Source organism: Homo sapiens, chromosome 16, assembly GCF_000001405.40.
Source record: "Homo sapiens chromosome 16, GRCh38.p14 Primary Assembly".
NCBI lineage: Eukaryota > Metazoa > Chordata > Mammalia > Primates > Hominidae > Homo > Homo sapiens.
In genome coordinates, this window is record NC_000016.10 from 89,288,179 (window position 1) to 89,302,666 (window position 14,488).

Below are 14,488 nucleotides of genomic sequence, written 5' to 3' on the forward strand. Positions count from 1 at the left end.
CTAACAGTCCCACAGTGGTGACGGGGACCGGCAGCAACTCCTGCAGGCCTCCTTCCACTTGGTGTAATCCTTCACCTGCTCAAATCCAACCAGACCTACACGGCTAGCGGATACGAGCCTTTCATAGATGGCACTTGCTGGGAAACCTGTGAGAGGCCGTCCAGGCTGACCCAGAAGGGGAAAGCTGGGGGCAGACAGAGGGCACAGCTCGGCCTTGAGGGTGGGCAAGGCGAAAACTCGCTTTCCTGTGCCCCACATCATGGAACCGGCTAGCTACGGGGAAACAAAGCTACAGAACCACCCAGATGCCAGGACAGGCCGGATGTGTGAAGAACGGGGGGATGCCAACCTTGTAGTGCCCGTTGTTGGCAGCGTCGTGCAAAGGCGTGTCGTCATCTAGGCCCTTGGTGTTCACCTCCGCACCTGCAGCCAGCAGCTGCTTCGCGACGTCGTAGTAGCCCCGGTTACAGGCCTCGTGCAGCGCCGTCCAGCCTGGAAACAGACACTCAGGACGTACGTTATTTAATCCTCAGAACTTCCCTCCTGTCTCTGGAGGCAGCGCCCTGAGGATGTGCTACAGTGCGGGGACAAGCCAGGTGGGGAGCTGCCCTGTAGTGAGGGCTGCAGTTTAGGGAAGCAGGTGCTGGCCCAGAGAACCCCTAAATTCTCTTTACTGTGGCACCTCGTTAGCACGATCCATATCTAGCTTATTAACCCTACGGACTGACAACCTGCAGGGCTAATCTGCGGCAATCACCCTAAAAGGGTAGGAAATCAGTGAACACACAGTGTAGTAAACAGCAGCCTCATCCTCACCGATCTGGAGGCGTATGTGCCTTTGCAAAACACGGAGGGGAAACCTCCCGTGTCGGAAACGGAAACCAAGGCTGAGAGCCTCCTGAAGGCTGAAGAGCTGCTACAGCAGGAGCTCCAGGGGCGCCCAGGCTCGGGCTGCACGACGAAGGCCACCCCGGGCAGGCAGCTCCTGGCTGGGGAGCTTGGAGTCCACCATCGGACGGTGTGGCCGCACGCATCCGTGGAAACAGAGCTCGGCCCCACGGAAGCACACGGCACTGCTCTAGAGAAGTTTCTTTTAGAAAAATGCTTTAAAAAAAAAAGGTGCTAAATTAGGTTTGGGTCAGACAGCTATAAACCAGGGCAGTTGGAGAAATCTAGAAGGATTCTACACACACGATTTTGCTCATCTGTTCCCCTTACACTGTGGACAGACAGTCCTGGGATATGTGGACCACTCATGGTTTGATGGGGGTATTTTATGTAAAGAAAGGGAATATTAAACTCTAATCATGGAGCTCTTAAGCCCCTGGGCCGTATCAGGTCTGGGGAGGCTCGCTCAGTTCTCTCCGGGTCCCAGGCAAGCCCCAGGACCCAGCCCTGTGAAGTGAGGGAGTCCAGTCCAGGGTGTCGACCCAGCCGGCCTCCCGGCTCAGAGGTGCCCTCTGCTGGAGAATGCAGCCATGTGCTAGACACACCAGGGACAGGTCCCTCCAGGGGCCTGGAGTGAGGTTTATGGAACACAGCAGAGTAAAATTTAAAATTCCTCAGTTCTCTTACAGATAGGCCAGGCATGGGGGCTCACAGCTATAATCCCAGCACTTTGGGAAGCCAAGGCGTGAGGACTGCTTGAGGCCATGAGTTCAAACCAGCCTGGGCAACTTAGTAAGACCCCGTCTCTACAAAAAATAAAAAAATTAGCCAGGCATGGTGGCGTGCGCCTGCACCCGGAAGGCTGAGTTGGGAACATCGCTTGAGCCCAGGAGTTCAAAGCTTCAGTGAGTCGTGATCACGCCACTGCACTCCAGCCTGAGCAACAGAGCGAGACCCTATCTAAAAATAAAAATAACAATAAAACCCAGCAAACAAGTTTACTTTGAAATACTTTCCAAGAAACACTGATTTCTTCTCAGCAACAGGGAACCCCACTGGAGTGAGTGTGGCTGTGAACACCCCGAGCCCTGCAGAGCAGACGCGCACCCCACGAGGCCACAGCCCATCCAACCCGATGGGAGGCTCACGGCTCCAATGGGGGAGGCTCAGGGCTCCAGCGGGGGGTAGGCTCAGGGCTCCAATGGGGGTAGGCTCAGGGCTCCAGCCGGGGGAGGCTCAGGGCTCCAATGGGGGGAGGCTCAGGGCTCCAGCGGGGGAGGCTCAGGGCTCCAATGGGGGGAGGCTCAGGGCTCCAGCGGGGGAGGCTCAGGGCTCCAATTGGGGGAGGCTCAGGGCTCCAATGGGGGGAGGCTCAGGGCTCCAATGGGGTGAGGCTCAGGGCTCCAGCGGGGGAGGCTCAGGGCTCCAATGGGGGGAGGCTCAGGGCTCCAATGGGGGGAGGCTCAGGGCTCCAATGGGGGGAGGCTCAGGACTCCACTGGGGGAGGCTCAGGGCTCCAGTGGGGCTCTCTGGCCCTTGCCAGGCACAGGGTGCCCACCTGCGAAGTCCTTGACGTTGACGTCTGCCCCCTCGCTGATGAGCTCTTTGATGCGCCGGGCGTCCCCGCGGATGGCGGCTCGGTGCAGGCGGGTCTCTCCACGCTCGTTTCTCTTGTTCACTTTATCTTTGGTTTTTGAGGCAGAGTTGGGCGTTCCCTTCTGACACACTGTAGACTGGGAGGGGTGCTTTGGTGTTGTGTCCACTGCAGGCCAAGGAGGGGACAGATGGGCATTACTGTGGGGTGGTCCTGCTTTGTCCAATCTTCAAGAGCCCAGGCCACCATCACGAGGTCCCTTTGCACAGGGCTTGTCCTCAGCACAGCCATGAGGCTGCGACCAGGCAGAGCCCCTTCCCTGCGCCAGGGACCACCCACAGGCCGGGCTCACCTGGGCTGTTGGCAGACTCCTCGGCCGTCATCTGCATGAGAAGGGCCACCTGCTGGCGCTCGGAGAGGGGGTAGCCGGCTCGGATTCCAGACAGCCCCATGCCAAACAGCAGCCCGGCCTTCCGGGTGACAGGCTCCTTCTTAATCCTCTTCCGCTCAGGGCCCTGCTTCTCTGTGAGGCGGGCGAGGGAGAGAGGGAGGAGAGATTTCATGCCATGGTGTCCTCCAAAGCTAGGTCCTTACCTAATGTTACGGAGCCCCCTGCGTCCACCTGACAGCTGACAGAGCAGAAAGGAAGGTCTGTGTATGGGGAAAGCACAGCGGTGCTGGGAGCATTGGTGCCGCCCACCTCACCTCTCAGCAGTGACTGTGAGACCATTTAAACACCTCGTTACCAGCCCCTCAAGTCTGCTAAGCCTGGGCCTCCACCGAGCATCCACTCACTCCAGGCACCTCTCCTGGGCCTCCCCAGACCTCGTACCACACATGAATGCGGTGGGACAGCTTAGCACCGGTGACCTGGCTCACACAGGACAGGTCTCTGTTCAATACACGTGTCTGTAATTCAATTCCACCTTCCCCGTCCCTCCTCCAAACAGTGCAGATATAAAATGGCAGACACAGTTTAAAACACATCAGTAAATCAAGGCCAACTGGTCAGTACTGTACCTTTCTTCTTGCTTCTAGGAACCTCCATCTCATGCCATGGTGCTTCGAGGAGCGTACCAGCCTTGCAGCACCACAACAGGGACTGGGCTGGAGGCATCTGAAGGCATCAACACAGAGCACTAACAAGACACGGTGTGAGAGCTCGGCTGTTTCCACCTCAGCCTCCTCGTAACAAGCACACCCTGCACTCATCTGACCCGTTACAGAACACTCGGCTGGCGTCTAACGCAACTCACGTGCTGTGTCTTTTAAAAGAGGCAGGAGGCAGGGGCGGGGAAGAGAAGACCCCAAGCACCAAGAGTCGGGGGCACAGAAGATGCCTCCTCCTCTGCCTGACCAGTGCCCTCCTGTGGATGGAAATCAGGGGCCAGACACCTCTGAATCCTCCTCCAGCTGCCCTGCGGGTTCTGGGGTTTTCTAGGTCATGGGGTGAAACTGCAGAGGTGCAGCGCAGAGGCAAGGCTCTGCCAAGGCCTGACTCGGGGAAGAAGGGCCACCAGGAAGACGTGGGCCTCTGAAGCTCTCCTCTGAGGCACCTCCCTTCCCTTCCATTCAGCACTCCCAAGAAGCCTCTCTTCAGGACTTCTCCCTCGGCTGGTGTTTGATCCTACAGAGGTGGGAGACATCTCTAACAACGGACTAACTGGATCCCACACCTGCCCGGTCACTGGAACACAGAACGGTCTTAACTAGTCTCTCAGCTCAGCTCCCAGGGCCCGACTCTCTTGCTGTTCACCACCATGGTCCCCGTGAATGTGCCCGTCGATTTCCTAAGAGGACGCTGCCCACCCACTCTAGTTCTTTCCAAGGTATCTGAGGCTGATTTCTTAGGAATTCGGTCTGGGGCATGCTGAGAATGTGGATTCGTATGTCCTATGGGACAAGCCTGCAGGAAGGCACACACCTGGCCACATCGACCTGCGTCACACTCATGGGCAAAACCCCAAGTACTGCAGGCTGCCATCGCCACCACCAGCTAGTCTGTAAACAGTCCTCAACGCACAGATCTGAGAAAGCACTTGAGCTTTGGCCCCAGCCCCTCATAGAACCTGGCAAACACGGTGGTTGGGGAGGCAGCCTCGCCACCGGCCAATGAGCCCCAGCCTACAGCCATCATTGGCGTAGCCACACCTTAGCAGTGAGCTTGGGTCACAGGCGCTTGGCTGTGGGTCTCTGCGTGCGCCCCATGCTTTCCCTGCACCCTCCATGCTGCCCGGGGGCCGGCCCTCCCCAGGCTTGCTTCTCATAGCCACCTCTAAACAACAGAAGCAGGCCTGCGGCTGCCTCCCTCTAGGAAAGAGGCGACGAAGCTGCTGGAGAAACCCCAGCTCCCCCACCGATAGCCCTCAAGTCCTCCTCTCTCCAGGAGGGGCCCACACTCACCGAGCAGCTGGTCTGCCCACAGTCGCCTGGAGAAGCAGCTGAGAACCTCTGCAGGGCCCTGATCCCCAAGACCTAGCCACGCACATTCAGAGGCCTGCTCCCTCCGTCACCCAGAGCAGGGGGGTTAATGTTTTGGAGACACGAAGCCCCCTGAGAACACGAGGAAAGCAGAATCCCCGAGATACACAGACTTTGCAAAGCTGCACACAGCACAGGAGACTCCTGGGAGCAGACGGCATCTCCTTATTCCATTGACCATCAGAAGTGAAAAGCGAGTGGGCCCCACTTCTGTGCTGCATGTGGCCACTAGGGGTGGACACAGGGAGGAGCTGGGGCAGAGTTGGGGTTGCGGAGGGAGGAGCTGGGGCAGAGTTGGGGTTGCGGAGGGAGGAGCTGGGGCAGAGTTGTGGCTGCGGAGGGAGGAGCTGGGGCAGAGTTGGGGCTGCAGAGCGAGGAGGCGGGGTGGTGTTGGGGCTGCGGAGGGAGGAGCTGGGGCGGTATTGGGGCTGCGGAGGGAGGAGCTGGGGCAGAGTTGGGGCTGCGGAGGGAGGAGCTGGGGCGGTGTTGGGGCTGCGGAGGGGAGGAGGCGGGGTGGTATTGGGGCTGCAGAGGGAGGAGCTGGGGCAGAGTTGGGGCTGCGGAGGGAGGAGCTGGGGCAGAGGTGGGGCTGCGGAGGGAGGAGCTGGGGCGGTGTTGGGAGGAGCTGGGGCGGTGTTGGGGCTGCAGTATGTTTACATCCCGAAGTGCAGGCGTTGCCATGCTCTTAAGTTATCAAAGGACCCTAGGAGGCGTGTGTCAGAGGAACAGGCAGAGGCAAAGGCGTTCCTTAGAAGTCAGTCTTTAGGCTGGCAGGCCAGGAGCCCACGCTGCGTCCCCGCTCTGAGGGGCAGCAAAGAGCTGCTTTGTGGCAAACAGAACATGTCCCACTCCTGCAGGGCGGCCATCTCAGGTGCAGCTCACACCCAACATGTGCAGAATGGGCAGGACTCGGTGCCCCCAGAGACTTCCTGGGTGGGCTCCAGGGCCTGAGCCTCAGGGTCAGGGCCACATCCCTCCCGCTCCCCACCAGGCCCTCCCTCTGCTTCTGCTCTGAGCTTTGGTGAAGAAAGCCTGAGTTGGCTTCCCTTACGCGGCCAGGACAGCTTTACAGGGCTGGCTCCCAGCAATTCGCATGGAAGGTGCTGCCAACCTCCTGGTGAATTCTGGTGCCTGGAGCCACCACAGGGACCTTGCTCTGCCCCACACTCAGGAAAAGCTTGCTCCCAGGAAGCAGCAACTTTTCACCCAGCTCTCCCTGTCCTGAAACAGGACTTTTTACTTGTCCTGACACCAAAAAAGTCCAATATGAAACCAGATCTCCCAGGATGCCAATCTCTCCACTGTGAAACAAGCACCTGCAGCTACGAGCATCTACAACGCCCACAACACGCGCCAGACACCACCCAAGCTCCGGAGCCCAGCAAACTTGCACGTCTGTCAGCTCTGAGACACTGGCCACTCCAGTGGCTTCTGGGGTAGAGGGAAAGCCCCACCCACGGAGCGAGACCCCCATGTGCCACAGCCCATGGCTCAACAATGCCTGCTCTCCATTCCAACCCAGCGACACCATGGTCTGAGAGCAGCTGAGCGGGTCCTTGACGTGCACACACACAGCCCGTACCTGTACCTGCACTGTCAGGCACCACACAAGTGGGTCCCGCACTGCCTGCCTGCCTGCCCCTCCTACCCCAGGCCTGGGATGACCTGGAGCCGTGTGCCCCTGAGAAACGCTCCTCTGAGAGGAGAGGCTGCAAAACCTGCTCCCTGCCCTCCACACAGTGCAGAGCGCAGGAGGCGCGGGGTGTTGTCTGCAGGTAAGAAAAGGGTGAGAGCATCTGGAGCTACCCCTAGGACAGCCAGCAAGTTCCTGTAGCATTCTGCAAATTTCCTGTTTCTACCGTCCAAATGGAAGCCAAATACAATTTCTATGAATTCCAAATGGTATTCACCAAGTTGCAAAGTGGAAAACTGGCAAGTCTAGGGACTAAGTGCGGCTACAGCACCACAGACAGATGTGGCCCTGGGTGCCTCTGACCCCGGGGTGGGGGTGGGAGCCACTCCACAGCACTCAGAAGCCCCCTTCCACCCCTGCCCTGCAGTCGGAACACGGCCTGCAGGCTCTGAGGGCTTTGTGGGCTCAGGCAGCCTGGGGCTGAGGGCAGAGGTCCAGGGAGAGCGGTGGAGGGTGCCAGGAGAGGCTGTGTCTTCCCAAGTCAAGCATGTTGGCGGTGGCACCTGTGTCCGCTGACCTGAGCCTGGGCGGCCACCCACCTCATCTTTAAGAAACAAGGCCCGTAGGGCCTTTCTTCAAACCACATCCACCTCGCCAGCCCTCTGAGGCTGGCAGCACACCTCACTACCCAGCTGGCCAGTGGAAGATTCCACGGAACCCTCTCCTCCTCAGCACAGAGCTGAGACCCCTCCATGAGCCCCATGCCCCTTCCTGGTGCTGGTGCTGCTGGAGCACGGCCTTGGCCTGGGGCAGCAGGGGCCACAGTGGACAATGCTTTTGGGAGCTGGAGCCCACTTCCTGCCCCTGCATCCAGCCATGGCCTTTCTGAGGCAGCAGAGACTGGAGGCGAGCGTCCCGAGGCAAACGGCGGTGGCACCTGGCTCTGTGCAGGTGGGATGGGGGGGATGTGACGCGCCTGGGGGTGCCCTGTGCTGGTGGGATCGGAGCGGGGGCTGTGACCTTCCCGAGGGGTGCTCTGTGCAGGTGGGATCGGAGGGGGGATGCGACCTTCCTTGGGGTGCTCTGTGCAGGTGGGATGTGATGTGGGGGGCCTGCAACCTTCCTGGGGGTGCTCTGTGCAGGTGGGATTGGGGGGGGCTGTGAACCGCCTGGGGGTGCTCTGCAGGGAGTGTCTTCTCTATCTGGCTGCCTTTTTTTTTTTTTTTTTTTTTGAGACAAGGTCTTGCTCTGTAGCCAAGGATGGAGCACAGTGGCGCAATCTCAGCTCACCGCAGCCTCCACCTCCCAGGCTCAAGCGACCCTCCCACTTCAGCCTCAGGAGTAGCTGGGACCACAGGTGGGTGTGCCTCTGGCTGCTTTTAACATCCTCCCTTTGCTGTTCTGAAAACTTCACGTCAGAGTCATATTTAAATGTGTAATTACTGCTCTTTCTCCTGCTTATAATTCATTATACTTTTTGAATTTGAGGCTTGTGTTTTTATGAACCTTGAAAAGCCCTCTGCTGCCGGCCTCTGGAGCCACCGTCTCCCTGCCCTGCTCTCTCCTCTGCCGAGGTGCCTGTTAAGCTGCATTCTCTCCTCCACAGCTCCCCGCTTCCTGCAGGCTTCCTGTCTCACTTTCTTTCTGTGCTCCAGAGTCTAGGCAATCTCTTTTGTTAGAACTTCCAATTCACCAATACTTTCTTATGTTGTGTCTAATAAGCTACATCATCTGCTCACTGGGTTTTTTATTTCAGTGATTATAGTTTTCATTTCCAGATATTCCATATGCCTTAAAAACATCTGCATGATACTCCATGGTTTTAACTCCCCTGATGAATACTGTGCATTTAACCATCCCAGCACGTGAGGTCCCTGGGGCTGACCCCTGCTGACCCTCTCAGAACAGCTTTCTTCCTCAACGTCTTGTAATTCCAACCAGGCTCTTCGTCTGTCTACACTCTGGGAGCCGGAAGGCCGGGATGAGGAAGGTGTGTCTCTCCAGGGAGGGTTTGCTTTTGCTGTGGTGGGGGCCCCAGGGAGTGTGGGGCACTTCCAGCAGCATAAAACAGCACAAATCCAAATGCCAGCCCCACCAGAGGGCAGGAATGGGTCAGAAGTCTCATTGGTGACCTCTCAAAGCCCCTCATCCCTCCTCAGCACCTGTCCCTCTTAGCTGGGGGGACAGTGTCTACCCTGATAGCCCAGTGTCCAGGAAGTGTGGCCCTCTCGAGGGGACAAGCTTTCCGTGGGGTCTGGGCCCAAAGCCCCTTCCTCTACCTCCCTGGGAGGTCTGAAGCTGGGCTCCAAGGCAGAGACCCTGAGGTTGGGCCCCAGGGACGTGGAGGTGTGTGGCCTCAGCTGCTCATCTGAACAAATGCCTTTTGTATCAATCATTTAGCACCTCTAATTTCTAGGCTTTTCTAGCAAGAGTCTTTTAGGAGACACAGGCCACGATACTGTCAACATAGGAAAATGTGCAACTCCTGCGTCCCACCGTAAAACTCGAAGACGTCAAAATACATTCTTGATTCTGCTCCACAAAGGGATGTTTCCATGGCGATATTTTCAAACAACAGAAAGTTCACGGCCGATGGCGGTTACAGCTCATGGAACTGATGGGCAGGGCCGGGTGCAGCTTTGTAGCACGGCTGCTGCTCACAGATTCTCTTCCATTTGACTAAAAACCATGCTGTCCACACCAAACATCTGGCCTCATCCGGATGTTCAAAGCCATGAAATACAGCACTTCTGGCCAAGAAGTCTAAATCACAGCCGATCTACACGAGGCGGATGGTCCACAACGCCAAGTTCCTACCCGGGCACTGAGCTCAACGCTCGCACAACTCCAAACGAGGGCGCAACCATATTCCCACTGACATCCTCCTTGGGGCAGCAAGACAAGCTCCGAACAGCCTGTCCTGGGCCAACAAGAGAAGCTGGCGGGCGCCCGCTGAGCACTGTGAGCCATCTTGTGGTGAGACTGGCTTCTCCTTCCAATCTCCAGGTTTCTCTCTCTTTCTGCCTTCTTTCTGTCAGTTACCGTCATTGATCACTTAAAGAAAGACAGGGCCTACCCCTGTCTGCTGCGTGACCTCAGCCCTCCCGCCTGCCGATGGGAGCTGGGTCATCTCTTACGCCTTTCAGCTTTGGCTTCTTCCGCAGTGTATGTGAAGGGGTCACACAGAGGTAAGGCTGTGCGTCCAGCCCTTGCCTGCACAACCTCCATGCCTTCCCCATCTCCAGGCCGGGGTGGGGTAGGGGTAGGGTGGGGTGGGGCGGAAGGACCAGTTCCACAGGAAGCCTGTGGAGGCAAACAGGGTTATGTGGCAAGGGTGGGAAGGAGCAGGGCCTGAGCCCCATGGTGGTTTCACCAGCATCCAGCGGTCACCATGGTGAACAAGAAGCCAGGAAGGAAGGAAGCAATGTCGGCAAAAGGGCTCAGATGACAACCAAACAGAACGGTTTCCCACCCTGGGCCTCCTTTCCACACACACAGCATCGTGGGTATTTTAAAATAAACAAGATCAACGTCCAAACCTGCGCTGAGGCCTGAGCTGTGTCCGTCACTCCTGCAGGGCACAGGCCTGCCTGGCCGAATGCATGGGCGGTGAGAGCACAGGGCTGGGGGGACCCCTCTGTCGAGGGGCCACAGCTCCTCACACAGCAGAGCTTTATGGATGAAAGGGCTGAGAGGCACAGACAGGCTGAGAAATGGGCCCAAAGTCCCACAGCATGGAGCCAGGAGGTAGCAGACGGCCCCTGCCCGCCCCCCTCACTTGGCTGACTGCTCCCACGGCAGCCACCACCTTTATCCTGAGTCCCGGGGTCCTCCATCAAATCGCTGAGCCTCGGGTGGTCTTGTGGACCCCAGCTTGTCTGTGTTGTGTTGACAACATGGGCCTGGCTACCGGCCTAAGTGCACTTCTGAGGGGTGTCAGGGAAGCCTTTGCTGCGGCTTGGGGATTACAGAATTTTAAACAGCAAGAACCTTCCCTTTGCTAGTCCAAGCTTCCCTTTGTATGAGAAACTGCTTACGTCTAGAGAGGAAAAATGGTTGAGAAATAGGAGGACCAGAGACCAATCACGCGGAGTTCTTAATCATGTGAAAATATTTTATTTTGACGTGCTTTTTCTTGAGTGCCTGAATGTGGTGGCTCTTAGGGTAACCCCAGAATCCTCACTGCGGCAACAAGACCTGGCCACCACCCTCACCTCGACCACCACGGCCTTCGCTGCAGCCCCACTCTGACTCCCCGGGGGCTGCTCACGTGCCAGCACCCACTGGCCAAGCATCCTCCGGCAGGACCCAAGTCCTCTGTATTCAGAGGCCGACCCTGCTTTCCAGAGACTCACGAGGTGGCAGAGAGTCAGGCTGTGGCAGGGGCCCCTGTGTATCGAGGAGAGGAGGAAGAGTCTGCAGAGGTTTCTAGGGAAGGAGATAGTGTGGAAGTGACTGTGGCTCTGGTCCTGCCTGGGAGGAGATCTACAGGGGAGGGGCCTGGCCTTGGGCTGGCCCTGCCCTGCGTGGGATCTGTGCCCTGCGTGGGATCCCTGCCCTGTGTGGGGTGCGTGGGGTCTGTGCCCTGTGTGGGGTGCCTGCCCTGTGTGGGGTGTGTGGGGTCTGTGCCCTGTGTGGGGTGCCTGCCCTGTGTGGGATGCATGGGGTCTGTGCCCTGTGTGAGGTGCCTGCCCTGTGTGGGGTGTGTGGGGTCTGTGCCCTGTGTGGGGTGCGTGGGGTCTGTGCCCTGTGTGGGGTGCTTGGGGTCTGTGCCCTGTGTGAGCTGCCTGCCCCGTGTGGGGTGCGTGGGGTCTGTGCCCTGTGTGGGGTGCCTGCCCTGTGTGGGATGCATGGGGTCTGTGCCCTGTGTGAGGTGCCTGCCCTGTGTGGGGTGCGTGGGGTCTGTGCCCTGTGTGGGATGCCTGCCCTGTGTGGGGTGCCTGCCCTGTGTGGGATGCGTGGGGTCTGTGCCTTGTGTGGGGTGCCTGCCCTGTGTGGGGTGCGTGGGGTCTGTGCCCTGTGTGGGGTACCTGCCCTGTGTGGGCTGCGTGGGGTCTGTGCCCTGTGTGGGGTGCCTGCCCTGTGTGGGGTGTGTGGGGTCTGTACCCTGTGTGGGGTGCGTGGGGTCTGTGCCCTGTGTGGGGTGCCTGCCCTGTGTGTGGTGCATGGGGTCTGTGCCCTGTGTGAGGTGCCTGCCCTGTGTGGGGTGTGTGGGGTCTGTGCCCTGTGTGGGGTGCCTGCCCTGTGTGGGATGCGTGGGGTCTGTGCCCTGTGTGAGGTGCCTGCCCTGTGTGGGGTGCGTGGGGTCTGTGCCCTGTGTGGGGTGCCTGCCCTGTGTGGGGTGCGTGCGGTCTGTGCCCTGTGTGGGGTGCCTGCCCTGTGTGGGGTGCGTGGGGTCTGTGCCCTGTGTGGGGTGCCTGCCCTGTGTGGGGTGTGTGGGGTCTGTGCCCTGTGTGGGGTGCCTGACCTGTGTGGGGTGCGTGGGGTCTGCTACACGCTTGGTGAGAAACTGCATCAGGGCTTCCCGCCGTGTGTTGCTAACATCCCCACACACGTGAGTGCCTTGGGACCCTCGTCAACACACTGAGCTGAGGCCACTGGTCCACGGCACACTGCAGTGCACATGCCCTTCCTGGCCAGAGGCTCCCAGGGGCGCCATGCTCTCCAGGCACCTGCCCCGCCTGCGAGCACAGCCTGGCCCCTGCTGCACTCTGCTCTCTCTGCCCGCTCGGGTCCACTGCAGCTGAGCGGGTGGGAGAAGCCTCTTCAACTTCACACACTTGTCGCCTCTAGCACTGGGCAAGGTCTGGCATTCAGAGTTCCAAGAAGTCCCACAGATACCAGTGGCTAAGTCTGTCTTCCCTCCAGGAATGGGGAAGCAGGAGCCGTCAGAACAGCCGTCTCCTATCTGAGGCACCAGGAACAAACATGACGTCAGGAAAAGACTGAAGGTGCCAAGCACCTAACGCTGAAGGAACCAGCATGTGCCTGGCAGCACTGCAGAGAGCACACCCCAGGCACCAGAGACCAGGGTGTCATTCACAGGTCAAAGCAAAATAAGAAAATCATAATTTTTCCCCTTGTTCCAAAGAAACATCCACGTGCAGAGGGCAGGCAGCTTCGGCCCATGGCGCTCCTGACGAGGGCTCCCTCGTGGCTGCCCCAGGACAAGCAGGACCCCGGCGGTCCTAGGCAGGGAGAAGCGAGACTCAGGGTCACAGACGAAGGCGCAGGAGAAACAGCGGGGCAGGAGGCTCCCCAGAACCCCAGGGAGGCCAGGCAATGATGCACAGCAACCTCAAAAACATTCGCTGGTTGACTGATTATTTATTTATCTATTTTATTTTTTATGGACAGGGTCTCACTCTGTCGCCCAGGCTGGAGGGCAGTGGCGCAATCACGGCTCACTGCAGCCTTGACCTCCTAGCCTCAAGGGATCCTCCCGCCAAAGTGCTGGAAGGGTGAAGGGTGTGAGCCACTGTGCCTGGCTACTTTTAGATTTTTTAAGTTTTGGGAAACCTTACACATATAAAAAAGTAGACAAAGTAGTATCATTTGAAGCAAATCCCAGATATCATATAATTTAATATGAATGCTTTCAGTGATAAGGCTTTTTAAACTGAGACCACCCTTGAGGTGGTAGAGGACAGACTTCAAAAGCAGATACAAGAGGCCCCGGGCAGACAGGGCAGGCAGAGCAGGGCAGGCAAGATGGGCTAGAAGTCCCAGGGCAAGCTGGTCTGAGAGGGCTCGGTGGGCAGAGCTGTCTTGGGGCCGGGACATGGCAGGTGCCTTCCCACTCCTTGCTGCACCCACAGCCCTTACAGAGGCCTGGTCCTAGGACGGGCTCTTGCCCAGCGCTCTGGAAGACACAGAGGTGATGCTGTCACATGCTCACGTCTGCCTGGACAGCCTCCAGGCTGCTGTGCAGGGACCACGCGGATGCACAGCCTCGGGGACTGCTTTAAACTGGGCTGATTCACAACAGACAGAATCACATTGTTCTTGGCAGGCGGCCCCCAGCCCTGACTAAGCACCGCAGAGGCCACATCTCCATGGCACTGGACCGCGGGCAGGGCCGACTCAACCCTGCATCTGGGAGGCGGGAAGCCATCCCCACAGCAACATGGAGGTCTCTGAGGGAGACGTGCCAGCCTCTGCCACTTGGACACAGCCAAGGCATCCGGCACGGTGGTGACCCTGCATCCCTCCCACCATAGCAAGGGGCACCCACACCCCTCCAGAGAGGCCTGACTGCTGGGGACCAGAGAAGAGTCTCTTGTCTGTCACGTGTCAGTTAACCCTGCACCAATGTTTCTCTTCTCATCCCTGCTGGTGTGCGCCTCTCCCTCCACCCCACTCATTTCTGAGCAAGAACGGCTCCTCTGGGGGAAGGAGGGGACGCGGCGTGTGTGAGAGCCACAGCGCCCAGCAGCCTCCCGGCCCAGGGTGGGGCTGAACGCACTGGAGTTGGACTCGCTACTATTTATTTATTTAGAGACGGAGTCTTGCTCTGTTGCCAGGCTGGAGTGCAATGGCGCAATCTTGGCTCACTGCAACCTCCACCTATTGGGTTCACGCAATTCTCCTGCCTCAGCCTCCCGAGTAGCTGGGATTACAGGCACCCGCCGCCACACCTGGCTAATTTTTGTATTTTTAGTAGCGACAGGGTTTCTTCATGTTGGTCAGGCTGGTCTCGAACTCCTGACCTTGTGATCTGCCCGCCTCGGCCTCCCAAAGTACTGGGATTACAGCCGTGAGCCACCGCGCCTGGCTGTGGACTTGCTACTTTAAGAGGGTCCTGGTTAAAATGCAAGCTTCTAGGATAAGCAACGCTCCACACTCATACATCAGAACAATCTTCCTAGGAAATCTAGTTTTGCAACATTAAA

At 58.4% G+C, this 14,488-nt stretch overlaps 2 protein-coding genes and 1 long non-coding RNA gene across 6 annotated transcripts in view, besides 4 other annotated features; 2 read left to right on the forward strand and 1 right to left on the reverse strand.

Moving 5' to 3' along the window:
* The window catches only part of ANKRD11 (ankyrin repeat domain containing 11), a 222,932-nt gene that overhangs the window by 20,549 nt on the left and 187,895 nt on the right, over positions 1–14,488 (reverse strand). For 3 of the 4 annotated variants that reach the window (NM_001256183.2, NM_013275.6, NM_001256182.2), the window contains 3 exons: positions 2,835–3,005; positions 2,447–2,650; positions 350–492 (listed from right to left, as the gene is read on the reverse strand). In NM_001256183.2, the coding sequence (NP_001243112.1) occupies positions 350–492; positions 2,447–2,650; positions 2,835–3,005 (518 nt within the window). Of the gene's footprint in view, positions 1–349; positions 493–2,446; positions 2,651–2,834; positions 3,006–3,502; positions 3,600–14,488 lie in introns of all 4 variants that reach the window. The other variant, NR_045839.2, reaches the window with a different exon arrangement.
* Positions 2,985–3,831: an enhancer, noted in NCBI's record as "OCT4-NANOG-H3K27ac-H3K4me1 hESC enhancer chr16:89357571-89358417 (GRCh37/hg19 assembly coordinates)". NCBI's record gives its function as "activates a minimal SCP1, AML or CMV promoter by ChIP-STARR-seq in naive H9 embryonic stem cells {active_cell/tissue: H9 hESC(naive)}" and the evidence as "EXISTENCE:reporter gene assay evidence [ECO:0000049][PMID:30033119]".
* Positions 5,525–6,370: an enhancer, noted in NCBI's record as "H3K27ac-H3K4me1 hESC enhancer chr16:89360111-89360956 (GRCh37/hg19 assembly coordinates)". NCBI's record gives its function as "activates a minimal SCP1, AML or CMV promoter by ChIP-STARR-seq in primed H9 embryonic stem cells {active_cell/tissue: H9 hESC(primed)}" and the evidence as "EXISTENCE:reporter gene assay evidence [ECO:0000049][PMID:30033119]".
* Positions 6,371–7,217: an enhancer, noted in NCBI's record as "H3K27ac-H3K4me1 hESC enhancer chr16:89360957-89361803 (GRCh37/hg19 assembly coordinates)". NCBI's record gives its function as "activates a minimal SCP1, AML or CMV promoter by ChIP-STARR-seq in primed H9 embryonic stem cells {active_cell/tissue: H9 hESC(primed)}" and the evidence as "EXISTENCE:reporter gene assay evidence [ECO:0000049][PMID:30033119]".
* Positions 7,218–8,063: an enhancer, noted in NCBI's record as "H3K27ac-H3K4me1 hESC enhancer chr16:89361804-89362649 (GRCh37/hg19 assembly coordinates)". NCBI's record gives its function as "activates a minimal SCP1, AML or CMV promoter by ChIP-STARR-seq in primed H9 embryonic stem cells {active_cell/tissue: H9 hESC(primed)}" and the evidence as "EXISTENCE:reporter gene assay evidence [ECO:0000049][PMID:30033119]".
* Positions 7,950–10,139, forward strand: LOC105371414 (uncharacterized). Its single transcript, NR_136339.1, has 3 exons — positions 7,950–8,586; positions 9,013–9,784; positions 9,973–10,139. It is a non-coding gene; the product is annotated as an uncharacterized LOC105371414 (long non-coding RNA).
* LOC124903757 (keratin-associated protein 5-2-like) lies at positions 7,950–12,809 on the forward strand. Its single transcript, XM_047435030.1, has 2 exons — positions 7,950–8,586; positions 9,013–12,809. The coding sequence occupies exon 2, from the start codon at positions 11,254–11,256 to the stop codon at positions 12,181–12,183; it is 930 nt and encodes a 309-aa protein (XP_047290986.1). The 5' UTR covers positions 7,950–8,586; positions 9,013–11,253; the 3' UTR covers positions 12,184–12,809.

Bases quoted from the DNA above. Each gene is read 5' to 3' on its own strand.
- LOC124903757 (XM_047435030.1), top strand. From the start codon at position 11,254: ATGCATGGGGTCTGTGCCCTGTGTGAGGTGCCTGCCCTGTGTGGGGTG.